The 25,452-nt window shown below is 33.2% G+C and overlaps 1 long non-coding RNA gene across 1 annotated transcript; it reads left to right on the forward strand.

Annotated features, from left to right (window-relative positions):
* Positions 1-480: 480 nt before the first annotated feature.
* On the forward strand, positions 481-23,077 carry LOC124901176 (uncharacterized). Its single transcript, XR_007059127.1, has 2 exons — positions 481-538; positions 20,855-23,077. It is a non-coding gene; the product is annotated as an uncharacterized LOC124901176 (long non-coding RNA).
* Positions 23,078-25,452: the final 2,375 nt, after the last annotated feature.

Here is a 25,452-nt window from a genome sequence, read left to right on the forward strand (position 1 = left end):
ATTTCAAGTTTCCTTTTGCTAGTATTGTGAAAGTGCTGACTGGAATTCTCTATTCTCCTGGGACCACCCTGTATTATTTCTATCTCACCACAGTCTTACTCAAGAAAATACTGATGCAAGGACATCTGCCCAGCAAATGCCTGTCCAAGCTTGGACTGGTGCCACCCTTGTTATTGGTTCTTACAGCCAAAAATAAGTGTCTCAAGATAATTATGTATCCTTTCCATTTTTTCCTTAAAAATCTATGTCTTTCTTTACTTTCCTGAATATGCACATAGTTTACAATAGCATGCATATTCCCATTGCAATGCCTAATCCTGAAAAACATTTATTTATCTTCTGGAGAGTCTCCCTCTCTCTTATTTAGATTGACGTAATGATGCCTCAGAAGTGCAACTGAAGTTGACTGACCTTGGACAAATCAGCGTCCACTGGGAATCCAGCACAATGGTGACTGAGCCCTTTGTTCTCTCTGTTTCCAAGAGTCACATTTCTGTCCTGTGAATCTCGTCTAGAATTCTCGGACTCCTTCCTCTTGGTGAGTTTTTTGTTTGTTTGTTTGTTTTTACTATATTCTGGATCTAATTTGGTTATAAGCCACCTTTAATGAAAGACCCTGCATCCCTTTTGGGGCTATAAGTCTTTTCTGGCAAGCCCTTTCTGATAAGCATTCTTTTAGCGAGTACTCTGGTTTCTACAGAATTTATATTTAGTTTGTGAGGACTTCCTATCATTTCTTGCATAATCATTTTTTGGTTCTTGTGATCAAAACAAATATTTAGTTTGATCTGCATGCTTGGCTTAATAGTTTAGGGAACAGTCTGATTTTGGTTTCATTTTGGTTTGGTTACACGTCTGTAAAAAAATCTGGATCTTTTACAATTTTTACTCTTTTTGTTTCTGAACATCTTCCGGAACAAGAGTAAACATTTTAAATGAAGAGTATGATATGGCTAATAAAAGTCAATACAAAAACAGTGACCATCTAAAACACTGGATCAAATTCCTGATATTTCCTAACAGAATTTATTTATTTATTTATTTTGTTCTTGGGATACTAATGAAAAATCGAATAGGATTCTGAAATTCTGAAGACATTCAACAATAAACTTCCTTCAGGGATTCCAGCCACTATATTATGACCCATTCTTATGTACAGTCTTTAAGTGATTTATCAATTACTCAGAAAAACTGAGTTCAATGATCATTTTTTGAACTCTCTAAGAAAATTGCAACTACCTATCATATTAAAATGTTGAGCCTTGTAAGTTCTGTTTGTCTCTCTTTTTTTTCTTTGCCAACTTTCAATTCACTGACTTTTCTGCAATTATCAAGATAAACTCACTGCTTTTAACATTCCAGTCAAGATTTTTAAAATAGTCTTAAAGGAGTTTCAAATTAATGGCTTTACAAATTATAACAGCTCCATGACAATGAGCAACATAGCCTTCAAAAACTGAGTCATTTCTTTTAATGTAAATTTGGGCTTACCTACCTAACAATCACTTACGGTGATGCAACAGTTAAATTTATATAAAACAATCTAAAAAGAATAGCAAGCTAGATAACTGTTTATAGAAAAGTTAAACTCTCAGATTAAATGGGACAAAATCTGGACTCAGAGTAATAATATATATCTGTCTAGTGTATAAATTGCTTTGTTTGCCATGCAGGGGCCAGAAAAAGCAAATTTAAAAAAATGGCTAAAATGCTTCCCCACGCATACTAGTCAACCAAACGAGACAAATAAAGGAAAGCTTAGTTACTAACTCAAAGCTGCTTGAAACTTTTATTTTCCTTATACAGTTCACCAAGACCTAACTAAAATCTAAACATTTAAAAATTTAATGCTGAAATCATTTGAAAATGGAAAAAGGGTAAAAAAAAAGATTTTGTTTAAAAAAAACAAACAAACTGATATACCCAAAAATTTGGTCCACAGCCTTCATAAAATTATCTGTTGGGACAAACAAATTTGATCTATGTGAATAGGTCCTAATTTATCAAAACAAAATTTGGATCTAGGTGTCCTTTTATAAACTGGTTAGTTTGCATTACTACAGTTTATTGTCTCATGACAAAAATTCTAAAATGAAATCCATAAGATCTTTCTGTGTATGTGTGTGTGTGTGTCTGTGTGTGTGTGCATACTTAGATGTGTTTTCCTATGTAGGCATATTATACTATACACTGTGTCTATAAGATGAAATCTGAAGTAGTTGGCCAGAAATCCCTTACAGGATTCTATTCTCATTGGTGTAGATAAAAGAGCTTTCATAAAATTTTTTAAAAATTATAGTAATTAACCCAAATGTCTTTTAGTTCTCATGACTTAAATAAATGCTTAATATGGAAGCTAATTTTAAATGTATTGTAAAAATAAAAATGTCTTCAGAATTGGCAGCATACATTTTTGCCTGGGTTTACTGTTCAGTAGAATTCTATTTGTCTCTGCTAGATGTTTTAAGGTCATAGAACTCTAAATACAGCCTAAAAGAATGATCTTTGTTCGTTCAAATCTTTGATACGTAATACTAATTTGATATTGTTGGTTTCATAAAAACAATTGTATTTTCAGAATTATTGACAAAATATCATGTATTTACTTTAAGGTTTTTATTCAGGTGAAGAGTCACAGGATATAAAAATGATTAACAGGGAAATAACTTGCAGTGATAACTAGCTTTGTCTAATATCTCAGTTTTCATATGTGGTCGAGGTATAATTGTAAAAAATAAATATATTGGGTAAATATAAATGGAATAAACATTTATAAATAAACATCATGTAATTTAAAATCTTAAAATTACGTTATATGAAATTAAGTAGTAGATATTTATAAAATGCATGGGTCATTTCTAACTAAGTTAAAATACTTAAAATGAATTACTGAAAATAATTATAGGTTTGTTCTTGGTTTCTTAAATTTTAAGAACCAGTAAGTAGAAGACAGAGATATGAATAAATAAGTATACATACAGAGATGTATTTTTAGTACAAAAAGTTAAAAAGAGAAGAGAATAATTTTTCAAAAATATAAGAAAAACTACTTTTATTGTTCTAAAGTCATGCATGGTTATTTAGGAAAGAGGAAATATAAGACAAAACTAAAGGTCAAAGCATGTTGTGGAAGGTTCTTAGTAAGTTGTGAAAGATTTTTGAAGCATAAATATATGGAAGAAATTTTGTGCATTATCAAGTTGGCTATAATTAGAAGGGAATTATTTCTGTCTTTCTAAATACTGAGCATTAATATTAAGTATGCACTAATACAAAGCTAACAATTTGTTGCCCTTTGTTAGAATAACAAGGTTGTTTTGAAGTATTGATCTACTCTTACTAAAATTTGAAAGAGGTTTTTATTTAATTTGAAAACCTGTTGATTTAAAATTTCAACCATCTTCTCCATTGTAGCTTATTTCTTTTTTTCTGTTTTATAGTATCCATTTAAATTCCCTAATTCTGACCAGCCGTGTTTGCTCACACTTGTAATCCCAGCATATTGGGAGACTGAGGTGGGTGGAACATTTGAGGTCAGGAGTTTGAGACCAGCCTGGCCAACATGGTGAAACACCACCTCTACTAAAAATACCCCTCAAAAATGAGCTGGGCGAGGTCATGGTCTGTAGTCCTAACTACTCGGGAGACTGAGGCAGGAGAATTGCTTAAACCAGGGAGGTGGAGGTTCCAGTGAGCCAAGATGGTGACACTGCACTCCAGCCTGGGTGACACAGTGAGACTGCATCTTAAAAATAAATAAATAAATTAAATAAATAAATAATAAAATAAAATAATTCCCCTAATTCTAGGTTAAATTATCTTTTTTATGTAGTATGGCAATTCTGTTTCTCAAGGTAGAGGTTTCCTCTTGAAGCTTTTCAGATCTGTATCTTAGAAGTTCAACTTTTGCTGTATCTCACTGCATGTCATTTGCAGTCATATATCATTGCTTTCTGCTTTTTCTCTTTCTCCCCTAGAAAAGGTACATTATATTGCTTGACTAAGTTGATAACTTTCTCTGTTAACTTTTTCATCAGCTCTTGTAACATTTTTCTTCTGGTTCTAATTCTACTGTTATGGCTTGACACTGTATATTCTATCTTGAAGGTTTAGAAAAACAATGTTTTTCTCCAATATAACTCAGTTCTGTACACATAGCTTTCACTGATGTGTCCGAATTGTTTCATGTAACCAGGATATTTTCCATGCTTTCTGTCCGTAGTAAGAGCCATGTATTCCCCTGCTCAAGGCACTAGTAAATTTGTTTACATTCCTCTATAATATGGTGTGCAATCATAAAGTTGAACACACACTTCCTTTTTCTGATTAAATTCAAGTACCTTTTCATCAGGATTAGGTTATCTAAATGAGTTTCCTCTAAGGAGAATCAATCATACTGCAATTAGGTTTTGGTTTGATTTTTAAAAAACCTTTTTTGGCAACTGGCCTGGGAAATACAGATTTTGTAATACCCTGTGCTTCTTGCTGTCTTTATTCAGGTCTTTATTTTATTACTTAAGAAAGCTGAGCTTTGAAAAAGTTAAGATTGTTGTTGTTGTTGTTCATCCATGTAACTTTCTGTATTTACTTCTTATTCTGGTTAAGTGAATGACTATTATTTTACAATAACTTATTTGATCAAGTGTTTCTAAATGTTTGGTATCTTTGCTTGGTTGCCCAGTATCAAAATTTTAAGACCTTTTTTTTAACCTCAAGTTAACTTTGGGATATGTTAAAAGGCCCCAGTACTTCTCAAATGTTTACAAAAAAGAGATATTGAACTATATTGGATTTATCTGAAATATTGAGTTACATGTAAAGACTTGTCAAATGATAAAAGATGCTAGATCTTCTTTGAATTACATTTATGTATACATTATTGATATTAATGTTCCAAAAATGTATAAAATATTTAAAAAATCTAATATGTCATGATAATTTGGGTTATGTGGCGTCACACAAAATTAACCACATTTCCTTGTCAGATTTCAGTTTTTGTTATTTATAGTTATTGTTTTGAATTATCTAAATGATTCTGCCATTAAATTCATGGAAACCTCTATAATAGTACTCTTGAATGCAGATTTCTAAAAACTTTACAACCAATAGACTAAAGAAAAATGTTCTAGAATATTAATGAAGAAATTGATGAACTTGTGAAACTGCAAATCCATATCAACCAAAACAAAAATTAACTACATCAGTGTTGTGGGAAGTCAGGGACCCCTAACAGAGGGACCAGCTGATGCCATGGCAGAAGAACATAAATTGTGAAGATTTCATGGACATTTACTAGTTCCCCAAATTAATACTTTTATAATTTCTTACGCCTGTCTTTACTGCAATCTCTGAACATAAATTGTGAAGATTTCATGGACATTTATCACTTCCCCAATCAATACTCTTGTGATTTCCTATGCCTGTCTTTAATCTCTTAATTCTGTCATCTTCGTAAGCTGAGGATATATGTCGCCTCAGGACCCTATGATGGTTGTGTTAACTGCACAAATTGTTTGTAGAGCATGTGTGTTTGAACAATATGAAATCTGGGCACCTTAAGAACAGGATAACAGCAATTTTCAGGGAACAAGGGAGATAACCTTAAAGTCTGGCTGCCTTAAAGTCTGTCCTGCCTGTGGGCAGGGCAGGACAGAGCCATATTTCTCTTATTACCAAAAATGGGTAAGAGAAATATCGCTGAATTCTTTCCCCAGCAAGGAATATTAATAATTAACAGCCCTGGGAAAAGAATGCATTCCCAGGGTGGGGCCTCTAAAATGGCCACCCTGGGAGTGTCTGCATTATGCAGATGTAGATAGGGATGAAACATGCCCTAGTATCTTGCAGCACTCCCAGGTTTGCTAGGATTAGGAAATTCCAGACTGGCGAATTCTAGTCAGACTGGTTCTCTGTTCTTGAACCCTGACAATGTGTGCACAACAGGACAGGGAAGTTCATTAGTGATTCTAGTTTTGCCCTGACCTTCTGCCTTGTGATCTTTTGTCACCCTTGAAGCATGTCATCCCTTTGAAAATTGCTAATAAAAACTTGCTGGTTTTACAGCTCAGGGGGCATCATGGAACCTGCCAACATGTGAGGTCTAGCCCGGACACCCAGCTTTAAAATTTCTCTCTTTTGTACTCTTTCTCTTTATTTCTCGGACCGGCCGACACTTAGGGAAATAGAAAAGAACCTATGTGAAATAACGTTGAATTATCGGGGGCGGATTCCCCTGATGCATCAGATTAAATCACTGCTAAAGATAATGTTTTTGTGACTTTTATTTGAAACATATCTGTTCTTTAATCTTTTGTTTTCCAGATTTAAAGAAACTTTCTCTTTCAAATTATGTGGAGTTTACAGTATATCTTTATGAACAAAAGTGGGAGCATTTACTTGTTCTCCCTACTTGATCCTTGCAAAATGTAGAAACTATTCATGAGTATTCTTATTTTCTATGGCAATATTGTTATTTGCAGAAGTTCAATCACAATATGCTCTCTTTATAACAGGATACAAATGGAAACATTGGTTATATCACCAAGACTTTGATTAGAATGTTATATTTGGGAATATGCATAGACTGCCTAGCTTCAAGGGTTCTGAGCCTCACAGTGAGTGAATAGAAAATTGTGACCTCTTGGAAGTCCCAGGAACCTCAAGATATTAGGTACTGCAGATGAAATTCTAAAATCTTTCTTGATTTGGCTTTTTAGTCTTAAAAAAAGTTTAAATCTGAGATTACAATGTGTTCAAATCACTATTCTTTCAGGCCAAATTTGATAACCCTAAAATTTTACAAACAAATTTGTTTGATTGTCTTAGGTAAATAATGGGCAAGATTATAGAGAGAAAAAGTTGTCTTTCTAAAGAAAAAACTATATCTATTATTAGATTCTAGCTCTGTTCATTGTTTTTGAGGTCTTATTATCTACCTATAGAATGGACTACACCCTGAAGTCTTCTAGATTTCTTCAATCCAACTATGTTTCATGTAATGACTAAGAACAGGGACTGTTCTGGTTCTCAAAGCCCTGTAAGCTGAAACTAAATATATTTTAAGGAACAAGTCTCATGTCTTATGCATGGGTCACACAACTATTTCACCAAACTACCTGATACCATAACCAGAGATATTTAAACTATACACCAGGATGAGAAGTTGATAGCTTCATGCTGTGCACAGCTCTTTCTGTGACATTGGAGCAGGACTCCATATTATAATGAGACTCTTACTTTCCTTAAGGCTACCTTTTTCAATTGTCTGGATAATGGTAGAGTTGAAATTTCACAATTAGTATCTTCTGCTGGTATCCTGACAGAACCTGACCTAAAAGATCCTTTAGACTACCACCTAGAAGGTAACTTTGAAAACACCCATAATACAACTGTCACTTACTATCTGCTCTAATTCAACCCAGTCATGGGATACTAGATTAAAAATTTGCTCAATATTATGATGTAGTTTAGATTTTTGTTTTCTCCAAATCTCATGTTAAAATGTTATCCCCAGTGTGGGAGGTGGGGCCTGGTAGAGGTGTTTTGGTCATGGAGGTGGATCCTTTATAAATGGCTTGCTGCTGTCTTCCTGATTGAGAGGGAATTCTCACAAGATCTGGTTATTTAAAAGTTTGTGGAACCTGCCCCCTCTCTCTCATGCTCCTGGTTTCACAATGTGATGTGCCTGCTCTCACTTCACCTTCTACCTTGAGTAAAAGTTCACTGAGTCCTCCTCAGAAACAAAGCAGATGTCAGAACCATGCTTGTTCAGTCTGCAAAACCGTGAGCCAATTAAACCCGCTTTCTTTATAAATTACCTAGCCTTAGGTATATCTTTACAGAAAAACAAAAATGGCCTGAAAGTTATCTATTAACTAACTAACTAAATAAATATCTGGCCAGACTCGGTGGCTCATGTCTGTAATTCCAGCACTTTTGGAGGCCAATGCTGGAGGATCCCTCTAGCCTAGGAGTTTGAAACCAGCCCTGTCTCTATTATTATTATTTTTTTAAATTAGCTGGGCATAGTGGCATGTCTGTGGTCTCAGCAACTCAGGAGGCTGAACTGGGAGAACTGCTTGATCCCAGGAGGTTGAGGCTGCAGTGAGAGCTGTGATTACACCACTGTATTTTCAGCCTTGGAGTACAGACTTGTCTCAAAAAAAAAAAAAGTCTGTGCTATTGCTAATATTTCATGCTGTACCTAAATAAATTCCTCATGGAAAGTTGAGACCCATATACACAAAATAAGAAAGTAGGGCACATGGTTAAAATAGATGCCACCTAATTGCTTATTCTCATTTGATTTATTGAATTTGTTGCCTTTAAGCGTAGGTTCATAGCTCAAACCCATTAGGCAAAGTGGAACTATGTTCTCATTATCAATTTCACTTCATATTTTTTCTTTTTAATTTTTAATGTTGTAACTGTTATTTGTTAAATGTATGTAAAACTACAACTCCTAACTGAATAATGCTGGCCCAGCATTTTAAGGTAATAGACAAACAAAATTGAAGTTAACACTGAACTTTAGGTAGACTTAGCCTGAGAGCCACTATTTCTGAATCTCCCTTGTAACTCAAATGTGGCAAAAAAGGTTTTGACACAGGCTGCTAGTTGCCAACTGCAACCTCCAGTGTGGGGCTAGAGCAACAACAACCTGGGACAGGTTCATCCCAGTACCAAGGGACATCAAACATAACTACAGAATGACTGATCAGTGGTGCTTTCAGAGAAAGACCCTGACCAAAACTGTGAAATATGAATGTTGTCAGAATAAAAATGGAATCATTAGTGCTAAAAAATGCTGATAAATGAAGCCAGATAAGGCCATGAAGGGAAGGTTCCCATGCACAAATATCTGGTAACAAGAACTATCACAAGAGACGACAACAAATTCAACTTTTCACAAAAGCCACCATAAACTTAACTAAAAATATACTTACGTGAGGACATTTTCCTAGCAACTTTCTGTCCAATCTCAGACTGTTGCCAATTTGTTATTGATCCTTGCAGCCAAAGATAATTATCTCAAGAAAATAATTATCCTCATTTTTCCTTTAAAAACCTTTGTTGTCCTTTGCCTCCCTGTATATGCACAGTTTATTATGGCATGTATATTCCCATTGCAATGTCAATTCCCAAATAAATATCTCCCTGTTTGTTTTATAGGTCGACACATGCATACATATTTGATTCACCATATTGACATATTAAATGGAAAAAACCCAATTACATGAGAAGTTGCTGAATAAGTAATTTGATAAAATTATTTATTTTATAAATACTTATAAAGCAAACAAAACAGCAAAATATGAAAAAGACAGGATAAGCATGCTACTATATGCTACTATATACTAAAATAAAAAAGCATTTATAAAAAATGCTGAAAATGGCCAGGCTTGGTGGCTCATGCCTGTAATCCTAGAACTTTGGGATGCCATGGTGGGTGGATCCCCTGAGGTCAGGAGTTCAAGATCAGCCTGGCCAACATGGTGAAACCACGTCTCTACTCAAAATACAAAAAAATTAGCCGGATGTGGTGCCACACGCCTATAATCTCAGCTACTCGGGAGACTGAGACAGGAGAATCACTTGAAACCAGGAGGCGGAGGCTGCAGTGAGTCAAGATGGCGCCATTGCACTCCAGCCTGAGCAAGACAGAGCGAGACACCCTCTCAAAACAAAATAAAAAAAAAATGGTGAAAATGTCAAAGATATCACTATTACTAAATCAATTCATTTTATTACCTACTTTAGTCAGTGAAACAGGAAGCCGAAAATTCCCCAAACGGGTCTTCCTTTTCAGTTTTTACTGCGTACAGTCAAGTCTCCAACAACAGTTAGAGAAATTATTTTGTTACTTCCCTGTGGAAACCAATCCAGTTTTGTTCTCAATTTTCTTAGAGAAAGACCCAAACATGCTACAATGGCTACAAGTAATTACATGTTCTGGCTCTCTTTTTCTCCTGGATATATTTACTCTCTATTCCAACTACACTGACCCTGTGGCTTAAGGCACATGCCCATTTTAAGATATTTGCAGTGGAGTTGCTTTGGCCTGGACACAGAACCACTAAAGTGGCACTTCACCGGGTGCGGTGGCTCACGCCTGTAATCCTAGCACTTTGGGAGGCCGAGGCAGGTAGATCACGAGGTCAAGAGTTCGAGACCAGCCTGAACAACAAGGTGAAACCCCTTCTTTGCTAAAAATACAAAAATTAGCCGGGCATGGTGGCGTGTGTCTGTAATCCCACCTACTTGGGAGGCTGAGGCCGAAGAATCGCTTGAACCCGGGAGGCAGAGGTTTCAGTGAGCTGAGATCACATCACTGCACTTCAGCCTGGGCAACAGAGTGAGACTCCATCTCAAAAAAAAAAATGCACCTCTACTCATTTCAGTAATTGCTAGGTATCAATCTGCAGTGAGGTCTACCCCTGCAGCCCTTGTAATTTGTAACTCCCTCTCCATCATCTCCCACACTCTGATAACCCTCCACCTCACTTTACTTATGTTTTCCCCAAAGTACTTATTACATAACATTCTAAGTAATTTACCTAGTTATTATGTGTATTGCTAAGGTGACCATTCAATGTGTTAACTGAACCCGTAAAATTTGAGGAATGAAAGAGGTTGCTATGCACAGTATCTCATGACAAGAGGCATACATTGGAGTTATCACAGGCAAGCAGGGCTATGGTTATTCATTCTATGGCTTATACTTTTTTCCAATGACATAGGTTCCATGAAGGCAAAGATCTGTTTAATGATGTAATTCAGGTGGCTAGAATAGTACCTGATAAAATAATATTTGTCCAGTAAAGAAATAGCTGATAATCTTTTTATAGCCATAAAAAATCCTCTTTCTTCCCCCCAAATACTTTGTGATTATAAAACTAATCAGATATTCTTGATCAGTTAACTAGGTAGCAGATGGAATTCCTAAAAATTCTATTCATGTAACATGAATTCCCTGTTGTTCAGCAAGCAAGAATTATTTCTAAGGTGTACATGTACATTAAGATGGCTTTGTATAGGATTCTCTTGAATGTAAAGTTTTATATTTTGACACAATGCCAGAGGTGTTTTTGTTTTTTTCAAATGTAATATATTTTCTTCAAATATTAAAGTTTGTTTCCCTCTCTTTTGAAAATTAGGTGGAATTTTGCAAAATGAAATGAAGCAGGTGTCAGCAACTAGAACACACACAGGCTGGCAGGGCTGGCAGATGCAAAACAATTAGACCAACAAAAGCATTTGGAGCCTTTACATTCTTGCCAGTCTGATGCCTTAGCACAATCTGCAAAGTGCTGTGAGGATTGTCCTTATGTTTATTCATCGAATAAGAAATATTTGCAAATTTCCTTTTCCCCTTTGGATATAAAGTTCTGTAAAATATGATAAAGTAAAAGGAACATTTGAATGGCAGAATCTGCATATCTATTTTCGTTACAGGCAATAGGAGTATTTGTGATTTTTTATCATTCAAGCACTGTACAAACATATATTTTAAAATTTACTAATAGATATTTTGCAAGAAAATAGCCAATAGAAAACTTGAGTAATTAGTTTTATTTCTAAACGTAATTATTTAAAATAACTATTATTTTAATGACTTAAATCTGACTTCAGAACCATGGCAGAAAAAATTCAACACAATTTTATAACATTCACATAGCTAAATTGAACCACCATTGGATATTAATTTTTTAAATAATAAACATTGGTTCTTTAAAATAGAATTTTTTGTAGTGAACTTCCCTTTTAAGAAACCAGGTTAGTTATTGTATGAATAATTTTGGCAATATACGTTTCTTTCCAGTTACTGTGCAAATGTAGGCTGTTTAGGACACATGAGATTGTAATTGTACCTGCAGATTATATTCATCTATCTTCTGTCTGAAATTCTGATTCTGGTTGCCTGAAGCTCATGAAACAAATTCTGTTATTACCTCCATTCTAGATTAGACAATAAATACACACATCCATATATGTTATACATTGCATACCATGTCTTGTTTATATATAAATATATCAAATATGCACAGATATCAAGATATACACACGCAACACACAGATGAACACATACTAGATATATAAATTTCAATTGCCAATGTTGGTTTAAAAATGAGCAGTCAACTACAGTAAATCTTCTTCATCACTATTTAGAATAAGGGCCACGTGATGCTTCTTCTAGATGTATAAAGGCAGCTAGTACAATCCTAACAATATTGCTCCACAGTTGCACGCATGAGTCTGAGAATCCACTCACAAGAGGACATTTCTAAATTAATTTGTTAGCTGACAGTCTGAACTAAAATAGTTGCTAACATTGTTACTGGAAAGTAGTTGAAGTCACTCAGGAATCACATGTACAAAAAACTGAAGACTTTTTTTTTTTGTAGACAGATAACACAAACATTTCTGGACATGCTATCCTCATGTCACCCTCAGATGTTAAAAGGAGATTGCACACTTGTCTAGTGATATCTATGTCTTTGTAAACTCATAGAAAATCACCCTGCACAGATTTATATTCACCACAACTTTGTCCCAAATAATGAAAAACCAGTCACAAGCAAACAAAAAGTTTTAAGTAAAACTGGAATTGTAACATCCATGCCACCAGATAAGTCAGTTGAGTGTAATACAGGAAGGCTTTGTTTTGTTGCCAGGCAGATTAGAGATTAAATCTTGGTATCGCTAGGGGCTAGCTAGGTCAGCTTACTTATCCTCTCTAAGCCTTGGTGCTGCTGCCTCTAAAATTGGAATAATTCATAGTTTATCTGCATGTGCTGAATATTAAATGATATAAAGTATTTAAAGTTGTTCTCAGCTTATCCCACACTCAGTGTATGCCGTATGTTACCATGATCTTCTAAGGTTAAATATTATGATTTTGTCTTTTATATTTAAGTGATCTGAATTTTATTTTATTTGAAATATTCTAGAAGTATTTTAATCTTTGTTTGGGTGGTTACTGGAAAAATCACATATATAAGACATAAGTCACTAAACTTTTCCCCCTTAGTGTCATTAATAATACAAACAAAGAGGGGTGGAATGCAGCTAGGATTTTAATATTAGTGATACTTTTTGCAAATCATTGTGTTTACAACTACTGCTACGAGCACTTAATTTTCCCCAGTCAATTTAGCCTCATCTGAATAGTCACTTTTTTCTGTTCTTCACAGATATACATTTACCATCAAGCACTTTGTTAGTTACTGTTATAAGCCATTAATATCACTAAAATAAAAAGAGATGAGAAAATACACTTAGTGGATGACATCCATTGTTTTATCTAATGATAACATTCACCTAATCTTAGTTTTCTTATTTATTTCAAGCATATTTTAAACACTTTCAAGTGCACGCATTTTTAGTTGTGTCCTAAGGTAATTTTGTTAAGACCCTGACTACTCTCTTTGATATATGACAAATATCTACTTACAGGGATGGCAAGTTTTCATCTATTTCTTAAAATTCACTTATCAGGCAATTTTCAAACTTTTCTAAAAGGAAGCTCCAAGCAATTAATTAATTTTCTTGTTTGATTATACTTTTCATTGCATTGCTCCCAGCTAAGAATTTTCTCTTTGGAGTTGCAAAAACAATTTGGCCATATTCATTCACAATTTGCATTATCGGCTTCAAAATATTCCTCTGAGTGATATTTCCATTTAGTTAATGCTCAGGATTTTCTCTCATAAGAAACAGCAGAATGCAGACTCTTTTGAAACTTCAGAGAAATAAAATTGATATTTTAAGTAAGCAGCCACATAAATTCCACTCTTTTTACTTCGGTTAATGAATAAATTGCAGTTGCGATAGTCTACTTGGAAGCAGGAGTATATTCTTTCAACTCCTACTTCTAGTTACTATGAATTTTTTCCTATTTTTCCTGATTACAATATCATGCATTAACTATCCTTTAATGTCTGATTCTTATCCTACTTTTTAAAAATAAAATTTTAATGTATTGCTTTCTAAATGGAAAAAATATCTGAAAATGAAAAAATTCATTAAGATACATACGTATAAATATATTTGCTTCATTATGGAACTCACTGAAAGGGTATTTTAAATAGAATGTATTTCCTTTATTTGTAATAAGTACGTTGGACACTCACCAAATCACCAAGTATGATGAGATAGGGTTATGCTGTAAACTTTGAGAACACATTTTTAAAATACTTCCAAATTTCTCTACTCTAGGTGACCAGCACTGATTCTGTCTTGTTCTAGTTTCAGTAGAATAAAGTTCTTACACCACAGTGCTCATGATTTCATGTTAAAGATAAGACTTTTGAAAAGTATTATTCAATGGCTATATAATTATTTGGGGATTGCCAAAGAGGCTTAAGATTGACCAACATGGGAATCTCGATTGATTGACTAGTTTTCTTGTGGCAAAATCTTTAAGGAACAACATATTCAAAATATTTGTTTGCTTTGTTTAAACTGTTAGGAGATAAGCAGTCACATACTCATGTGTTGCCAGTAAAGCTATGCTCTAGCACACAGGCCAGTGGTATTATATCTTATATAGACAGTCTAACTAAAGTGGAGATGGGAATCATAGAAATAGTTGTCTTCTTTGAAGTCTAATGATATTAAATAGACTTTTATAATTATAACTGATAAATTACAAATATTCCAACATATTTAAATAGAATTATTACACTGATTATCACCTAGCATCTGCAATCCATTGAAATTGTGAAACAGTTATGATAAAGATATTCCAAAGCATAACATCCTCAAACTTAACCTAGTTAACAAAAAAGTACAATTTTTCAACATTTCTTGGTTCTGTAGATATAAGTTTTATCTCAAGAATTACACCATCACTTTATCTTTTCATAATGGACATGACTTCTTTATGAAATTCATTTAGCAGTAGAAAGAAGAGTCCATGGAGACTCATTCTCCCTTACTCTTATGTCTGTAACGGATGTTTTGTATGATTCCAAAAATTAATGTCCGCTATATATACTTGACAAAGATGAAATGTAAAAGTTAGGGAAAAAAGGAATAATTTTAGGTGCTTTGTCTTACAAAGGCATATAATCACCAAGTCTTACACAATAATTAAGCATATAAAGAATGCCATACTAATTTGAGTCTTTATTCATTTATTACAAAATATTTAGAGCAGACCTACTATGTTATTGTTTCTCTGATAAGCATATGAGAAGATAAAATGGACACATCTCTTTTTTCAAGAAACATACTTTATTCATGTTTTAAACTGAGATTGCAAATGGAAATAGTAATTGTGTTTGGATCATAGATACTAAGAGTTTACACCCAATCATTGATATTTTAGACTCAGAACTATGTCACTTTCAATATATTTAGGATGTCATAGCAACATTTAATTTAAATATCTACCCAATTCAAGTATCCCTACTGCCTAAAGTTTGCAAACTGGCAAATCATCTGCTCTATACTGCCTAAGTTGAAAGTGTGTTTGGATATAAAAATATTGGTCCACAGGAAATATCTGGGTTTGTGTGTGTGTGTGTGTGTGTGTGTGGTAATTAAATTTGTTTTCAAATACGTGTTATCACATAACTTTTCAGAATTTTAAATTGTGGTTGGCATGTAATAGTTGTGCATATTTAGAGTACAAAAATACATTATGATACAGATACACATTGTGTATGATCAAGTCAGGATGATTAGCATATCTATAAGCTTAAATATTCATGATTTCTTTGTGATGGAAATATTCAAAAATCTGTTTTCTAGCTATTCAGAAATATACAATATATTATTGTTATCTCTATCCATTCTATATGGAATAGAACATTAGCACTTATTTCTCCTAGTTATAACTTTGGACCCTTTGACCCATCTCATTACTCATTATTTGTTTGTTCAGTGTTTCTCTTTGTTTATGAATCAATGTTGGCAACTTGCATGTGTCTGAAAATGTATCCACTTCTTCTAAGTTTTCCAATGTGTCGATGTATAGTTGTTCATATGTCTCTGATGATCTTTTGGATTTCTGTGGTGTCAGTTGTAATATCTCCTATTTTTGTCTGTTTCTATTTGTATTCTCTCTTTTTTTCTTAGTCTTAAAAGTAATATTGTTTATTCTTTCAAAACACCAAGTCTTTGTTTTACTGATTCCTTGCATTGGATTTTAGTCTCAATTTTATTTACTTCTGTTATGATCTTTATTATTTCTTCTACTAGTTTTGGGTTGGTTTGTGTCATCTCTAATTTCTTTAAGCAGTAGTGTGTCATTCTCATTGAAGAGATCTTTACTAAAGAATTTCTAAAGAAAGAGGTTCTTATTTTTCTATTTGTTTGTGTCATCTCTAATTTCTTTGACTAGTAGTGTGTTGTTCTCCTTGAAGAGATTTTTTCACTTCCCTAGTTAGCTGTGTTCCTAGTATTTTATTCTTTTTGTGTAGCTTGTGAATGAGAGTTCATTTGTGCTTTTCAGCTTCACTGTTGGTGTATAGGTATGGTAGCAATTTTTGCAAATTGATTTTGTATCCTGAGACTTTGTAACAGCCCAAACTTTACCTTGGCCCCTTTTAGTCATGGCTGGAGTGAATGGGACTCAGGGAACCAAGTCTCTAGATTTCACACAGCAGAAGGACCCTGGGCTCAGCCTATGAAACCATTTTTTCCTCCTAAACCTCCAGGTCTGTGATGAGATGGGCTTCTGCAAAGGTCTCTGACATGACATGGAGACATTTTTCCCATTGTCCTATGCCAGGCTTTTATGCTCTGTTTCCGTTTTAAAACTGAATGCCTTTAACAGCACCTGAGTCTCCCTTTGAATGCTTTGTTGCTTAGAAATTTTTTTCAGCCAGGTACCCTAAATCATCTCTCTCAAGTTCAAAGTTCCACAAATCTCTAGGGCAGGGGCAAAATGCCACCAGTCTCTTTGCTAAAACATAGCAAGTGTCACCTTTACTACAGTTCCCAAGTTCCTCATCTCCTTCTGAGACTACCTCTGCCTGAATTTCATTGTCCATATCATTATCAGCATTTTGGTCAAAGCCATTCAAGAAGTCTCTAGGGAGTTCCAAACTTTATCACAATTTCCTGTCTTCTTCTGAGCCCTCCAAACTGTTCTAATCTCTGTCTGTTTCCAAATTCCCAAGTTGCTTCCATATTTTTGGGTATCTTTTCAGCAGTGCCCCACTATACTGGTACCAATTTACTGTATTTGTTTGTTTTCATGCTGCTGATAAAGACATACCCAAGACTGGACAATTTACTAAAGAAAGAGGTTTAATGGACTTATGGTTCCACACAGCTGGGGAGGCCTTACGATCATGGTGGAAGGTAAAGGGCACGTCTCACATGGAGGCAAACAAGAGAATAGAACTTGTTCAGGGAATCTTCCCTTTTTAAAACCATCAGATCTCTTGAGACTTATTTACTATCACAAGAATGGCACAGGAAATACCTGCCCCAGTGATTCAGTTACCTCCCACTGGGTCCCTGCCACAACATGAGAGAATTCAAGATGAGATTTGGGTAGGGACATGACCAACCATATCAATTATCCATGTTCATCCCTTTGTAACTCTCTTTTTTTCTTCTAAACAAAAACAAAAACAACAACAAAAAAACAGTATACATGAGCAGAACGTGAAGGCTTGTTACATAGGTATATGTATGCCATGGTGGTTTGGTGCACCTATCATCCTCAGCAAACTAACACAGGAACAGACAATTAAACACCGCATGTTCTCACTTAAAAGAGGCAGTTGAACATTGAGAACACATGGACACAGAGAGGGGACTAGCACATACCAGGGCCTGTTGAGGGGTGGAAGTGAGGGGAGGGAACCTTTGTAACACTCTTACACAGCTAAATAATGGCCACCTATTAACTACATCACAGAATTTAATAGTTTGCTACTGACCACCCCTTCTCATGGTTTTTGACATTCGGGCCCAGTGTCTACAACCATTAATTACCATACTTTTTTTGTGTTTTCTTCATGGAAAAATAAAAAAGAAAGAAACGATTTTACTGTATCCATGACTCCGTGAAAACTGAACAATGTAAAAAGATTGATCTTCTTCACAATTCTTGAAAACGTGAATCTTACATCTGGCTTGATTCATTCATTTGTATTATATACTAACCTCTGTAGACGTTTGAGCATTTTTTCTCTGTTCTACAACATTCCCAAAGGTGATTATACAATAATTGTTTTATTACCTCCTGCGTTGGAAATCTTTCTTGTCAGGCAGCCATGCCATCAAGGAACAGCTGCGACTGTTAAAGTTATCTTACTCTTTTCATTTTAAATATTTTCTTATTATCTTAGAAACCTGATTTCTGTGACTTACATTTAAGAATGATCTGCTTGTTGCAGCAAAAAGGTTGAAGAGCATGTTCATGATAACAAACACATGATCAAAATGATTTCTCTCTCAGTCTAATCATATGTGTGCACTAGAGTAATACATCATCATAGAATGTAAACTAAACTAAACCTTCAGAAAGATATCTAAATATCTCCCTGTCACCTCCATTCACATTCATGACGTGTACTTCCAATAGATTAGAAAAGCGTGGCCTTCACTTACAAAATAAAAATATTTAGATCTACATAAACCATGAGTTTAAAAATGGTAGAAATATGCTTTATTAAGTGTCAATGGAACACATTAGAAAACATTATAAAGGCTAATAAAATACAATTAATTATATTTACATATAAAATTATGTTTAGGCATAAGTATCTTAAGGTTAAATATCTATCCTCATGTTTTACCTATTTTTAATTAGTTTGGTTAGCATCTAATCATTGAATTAAGATTTTTTTATATGTTCTGAATACAATTCTTCTATTGCTATATGATGTGTAAATACTTTCTCCCAATCTGTAGCTTATTTTTTAGTTTTAATAATGATGTCTTTTAAAGTGGAGAGAGTTTTTAGCTTTGATAAGGTAAATTGATATTTTTTTCTTTTAAAGATCATATTTCGGTGGTTTATCTAAGAAATCTTTGCCTAACCCATAGTCATGAACATTTTCTCATATGTATTCTTTTAGAGATTTTATAGTTTTTGTTCTTATATTTAGATTTCTGAATCATTTTGAGTTAATTTTATGTATGGAACAAATTGTCTAAATTATTTCTTTTGCACATGCATACCTAATTGTCCCAGCAACAGTTTGGAAATATTGTCCTTCCCTTATTTGTATTCACACCTGTGATTAATTAATATGACTATAAATGTAAAGGTTATCTTTGAATGCTCAATTTTGTTTGATTTATCTCTATACCTGTTCTTGCTCCAGAGCTACACTATTTTGATCACTGTGACTTTATAAGTTATTTTCAAGTCTATACAAATTTTAAGTTCAACTTGTCAACACCTACAATCATATCTGTTGGAATTTTGACAAGGAATGTGTTGAATTTATAACCAATTTGTTGAGAATTGCTCTCTTGACAATATAGATACTTTCATCCCATGCATATGAAATATAAGTTTTCTACTTATTTCGATTTTCTATAATTCCTCTCAACAATGTTTCATAGTCTTCAAGGTGTACGTTTTGCACTTATTTTGTTAAATTACTATTTTGATGTTAGTATAAATACATTTGAAAATTTTATCTTCTCACTTAAAAGATTGAAAATTGAAAAGCAACCAGAGAGGAAGAATACCAATGTGTTTACAACATTCTGAGTTCAATATCTACGCCATATTTTTTAATTAAAATAGATCAATTTTTAATAGTTGATGTAAGCTAGAACAGTAAACCATTAATACGCATTTAAGTATTCAGTATAGATATCCTTCTGTTCGATGTCATCAATGATTCATTATGCATTTCTTCTCCTCTGAGAGTTAAATAAGAATACCAAGTTACAAAATTGTAAATAAGTATGAATTATCAATAGTTGCTCAGTAAGTAGAACACACAAAATGGAACACCACACTTGTTATTTAATAATACTATGTGATAACTTATTGTGCTAATTGTAATGTGCTTTTTAATATCTTATATTTTCTAAAATTATATGAAAGATATAATACATAGAAAAGTAACATTTAGACAAATTTAACCTTTTGAATGTATTGTTTTATTTGTATACTTTTTTAAAACCTCAGTATAAGGTGAATCAATTTTGGTTTCATTTTTCTGATGTGAAAATATCCTATGTTATTTACTGGTTATAATTCTAATCTCCTTTGTGTGCATTATTTATTTTGATTATTTACTTTATTATGATTGATTTGCAAAAATTAATATTTGTTTTAACAATGTGCATAATTATATTTCATAAAAGTTTTATTGTTAAAATTACATATCTAAGAAAGTTGATTATCTAGTCTGAAAAAGCAGGAGTATGTCAAGTTGTTAAATTAAAATTTAAAATGAGTAATATATTATTTTATATGGATAATTAGGCCCTTTGGGACATTTACTCAAAAGTAGGTCATAATTTTATTATACTGTACATTCTGATATATATATATACACACACACATATACACACATTTAAGCATAAATATAAAATAGTTCATATTCCTCTACTAATTATGCTTTTAAAAATTATTTACATTAAATTCTCATTAGAAATTATAAAACGACACTAGGATTTTTTGGCTCTTCTGTTCTTAGCCCATGTTTCTCAAGCCAAATATATTTAGAGTATATATGTTTTATTTTTATAACAAACTCTGAATGATCAATAACTATGAGCTAATAATTGTAATTAACATGAATATAAGTTGATTTTGACAAGCATTAATGTCCAATGTTATTCATATTATCCCTTAATGTCAGTTAAAGCAATTAACTAAAAGTTAAACTGTATTTATTTGCTTGCCATGGCATAAACGGAGAAGCAAAAACACCGCTTAGATCATCTCATTCAAGAAAGCCTCTGTCCACCTGAAAAGTGCATATTGGCTCAAAGTCTCCAGTGCTCAGAACTTTGAGAATCTTCCTATGCCTTCCAGCAGCATCCATGCAGGTATCAAGGAGGCCCCCAGCCAATGGCTGACCAAGATGATATTAAAAGGATTTGCCTATTTCCACTCCAAACAGGAGCTGCTTTAAGGAACAATATTTGCTCTGAAGACTGTCCATTGGACTGGCTCAGAATTTTTGGGGCCAGGGTCATGGTCTCATTGTTGGCGTTGCCCAATTCTACCTATTTTTCTTTCATTTTTTTCACAAGTGTTACTACCCAATATAATTTTGCAATTGTGTTTTTCCTCAGACTTTTTGGAGTATAATCGACAAATAAAAATTGTGTATACTCAGGGTCTATAGTGTGATGAGGTGATATCTACATACATTGTAGTGATGTGTAATGATTACCACAATCAAATTGACCAACTCATCTGTCATCAAACGTAGATATCTTGCCTGTGTGTGTGCATTTATGTGTGTATGGTGAGGATACTTAAGATCTTCACTGTTAGCAAATTTCAAGTAAAGAATGCAGTATTATTAACTAAGTAACCACACACTACATTAGATCTCCTGTACTTATTCATCTTATAACTCAAAGTTTGTAACCTTTGATCATCTCCCCATTTCTTCCAAACCCGAACTCCTGGTAACCATCAATCCACTCTCTGATTCTGTGATTTAGACTATTAAACTCCATATATTAGAGACATAATACAGTATTTGTCTTTCTGTGGCTGGCTTATTTCACTTAGCGTAATGTTCTTTACATTCATACAGGCAGGATTTTCTTTTTTTTTTTTTTAATGGGTGAAGAATGTTTCATTTCACACACACACACACAAACACACACACAATGACATATCATATATATATAGTGTGTTTGCACATAAATATACACAATTTTATTTATATATTATATATATTTTTTATCCATTCATCTGTTGCGGACACACAGGTTTCTGTATCTTGACTATTGGGAATAATGCTACAATGAATATGGGGTGCAGATATCTCTTTGAGATACTAATTTTATTTCTTTTGGATATATACCTAGAAGTGGGATTCCCAAATCATATAGTAGCTCCATTTTTAGAACTACTAAATTCTCATGCTAGTTTAATCTTTTGAGGAACTTGCAAACTGTTTTCCATAATGGCTGTTCCAATTTACGTTCCCACCAACAAAGTATGAAGCTTCTCTTTCCTCCACATCCTTGCCAACACTTGTGAGCTCTTCTTGTTTATTACAGCCATCCTAACAATTGTGAGGTAATATCTCATTGTAGTTTTGTTACATTTCTCTGATAATGAGTAATATTGAGTACCTTTTTGTATACCTGTTGGTCACATGTATGTCTTCTTAAAGAAAATGTCTCTTCAATTTCTTTGCCCATTTTTATTGGTTTGTTTCAGTTTTGTCATTGTTTGTTTTTCTCTTGAGTTGCATGAGTTCCTCATATATTCTGAGTATTAACTCATAATCAGATTTATGGTTTCCAAATATTTTCCCCCATCCCACAGGCTATCATTTTATTTTGTTGGTTGTTTCTTTTGCTCTGCAGAAGATTTTTATCTGATATAGTTCCATTTTTCTACTTTTGCTTTTGTTGCCTATGCTTTTGATGTGATATCCAAAAAATCACTGTCAAGAACAAAATTAAGGAGCTTTTCTTTCCTACTTTTTATTTGGGGGTTTTATGATTTTAGATCTTATATTTAAGTCTTTAATCCATTTTGAGGTGATTTTTGTATATGCAGTTGGACAAATGTCCAATTTTATATTTTTGCATATGGACATCAGTTTTTGCCAATATAATTTATTAAAGAGACTATCCTTTCCCCTAATATATTCTTGGTGTCATTGTCAAAGACTGGTTGACTCTATATGCATGAGTTTATTTCTGTATTCTCAATTATGTTCCACATGGTTCTATGTCTGTTTTTATGCTAGAACTGACTGTTTTGATTACTATAACTTTGAAATATCATTTGGCATTAGAAAGTGTGGTGCTTCTACCTTTGTTCCTATTTCTCAAGATTTATTTGGATGTTTGAGTTTTTTTTTTATTCCATGTGAATTTTAGAATTTTTTTTTTCTATTTCTGTAAAAAATCTTTTTGGAATTTAATAAAGATGCATTCAACCCATGAACATGAGATTGTTCCATTTATTTGTGTCTTATTCAATTTTGAACCCTGGAGACTTCACCAAAATTATTAGAACTAACATAGAAATGCAGTAAAGTAGCAGGATATAATATTAACTCAGAAATTTTTTTGGTTCTATACACTAACAAAAAAATCTGGAGAAGAAAGAAAAAAGTCAATTCTATATACAATAGCATAAAAATGGTAAAATATTTAGTAATAAATATAACCAAGGTGGTGAAAGATCTATACACTGAAGACAGTGAGACACTGGTAAAATAAATTGATGATACATTGGCTATTCTAATTCCATCTCAGTGCCTGCCTTCTGGAAAACCGAACTTTCATTATTTGAATCAGAAGAAAATCAGAAGGAAAATAATGATAGAAGGTTTTCAGGAAGCAATTTCCATCTGACGTTTCCTAGAACAGATGACAAAGGAGTGCAAACAGGGGAGATTATCAGGGGGCTAAACAACAAACAGGAAATATACTACCTTCAGTGCTCTTCTGGCTGGGGCATATGACACTTTGAGGCTTAAACTGACGCTTTGCCACTCAAGAACAATACAAACAATTGTAAATGAGAACCCAATGAGTAAGGATTTCAGAGATAGCATTAGCTTAAATTTCATTCGCAGCCACACGTAAAGACACAGAAAATAAATAATCTGAAATCTTAAGTAGGGTAGTAAAATCACCTTTATCTTTTTACTTTTTATACTTTAGACCTAAATTGATAGAAGGTTTTGCCAGTTTTAATTATGTAACAATAATAATTTTTATTCATTTTAACATGCAACATAATTAATCTTAAAATATCATATTCATCATTTACCATAGTCTAGAAGGCTTTCCTCAGTAAATAACACATCAGAACTTCAGGAGAAATCTTTTTTCAACCCACTTGCATCTCCTTTGTAGTTCTGAGAAGCTCTGAAATGAAACACCCTCTACCCAAAAACAATAAGAATTATTTGTGGAAAAAAGATCTGTTGCTCATGTATAAAACAACTGTCTAAAAATGGATGGGGGGAGCAAAACAGCCATTATTACATGATTATTCTAGGAAATACAAAAACCAAAAGAAACAAATATAGTTCATGTTGAGTTGTAGGAACTAAAAGTAATAGTAGTACTGATAAGATAGCAGTACTGATAAGATAGCAGTACTGATAAAAAAGAAATGAGATGCATTAAAAACATATGAATAAATGTGGAATTAACTGAGTGGGCTTAATGTTCTCAATATGTGAAATAGTGCTATACACAATGTGGTTACCATAGAATTTCCTTGATATATTGTGGCAGCAATTTAATAAATGGCTAGTAGTAAGATATCCAGTAAAGTTAAAATAAAAACAGAATAACACAACAAAGGAGTAAGCCTGGAAATATTTTAAAATACGAGATAAAGTCAGAAAAAGAGTCAAGTTTATCTTACTTCATAAAGTTATTTTTAAAGCTCACTACTAATATTTAACCATAGAGGATGCATTTTAGGCTATGCTTTATGTTAAGTACCTTTATATACATTATTTCAGTAGCCTTATAATTTAGTCACTATTTTTATTCCATTTTGTATATAAGTTCACGATGGCAAAAAGACATTAAATCAATTAACCTTTAGTCATATGGCTTCTAAACTAAATGCAAAATTCCAACCTACACAGTAATTCTCCAGGAATAGTATTTATAGACATTGGTATTTAAATGAATAAAACAGGTATATCTACAAGAAAATATAGTATTACTTAATCTACTATAAGCTGTCTCATATGTATTAATCTACATGTATTATATGATTTACAAAGGTAAATAAAAGGACAAGCCGGGCTGGGAGAAAATTGAGAATTTGGTAAATAACTTGTGTTGAAAATGTGAAAAAACTCTCAAATTTGTCAATGCAAACACACACACAAAAAAGCATTAAAAATGTGAGCCAAAGTTTGAGCAGATACTTCACCAAAGAAGAAAGATGAAAGCAAGTAAGTACATGAAAGGTACATAAAATTCTTAGTGATTAGGGAGGTGTAACTTAAAACCACAAGTAATACAGGCAAACCTTATTTTAATGCACTTTACTTTATCTTGCTTTGCAGATATTACATTTTTTCCAAATTGAAGATTTCTGACAACCCTGTATTGAGCAAGTCTATTTGCATCATTTTTACAATAGCATGTGCTCACTTTGTGTTTTCTGTGTCACATTTTGGTAATTTTAATAATATTTCAAATGTTTTCATTATTGCTATATTTGTTATGGTGATCTGTGATCAGTAGTCTTTGATGTTACTGTTGTAATTATTTTGTGGTCCCATAACTACAGCCATATAAGACACCAAACATAACCAACACAGAGCTATGATGGAGTTGTAC

The sequence above is a fragment of the Homo sapiens genome, chromosome 5, assembly GCF_000001405.40.
Source record: "Homo sapiens chromosome 5, GRCh38.p14 Primary Assembly".
NCBI classification, from domain to species: Eukaryota; Metazoa; Chordata; class Mammalia; order Primates; family Hominidae; genus Homo; species Homo sapiens.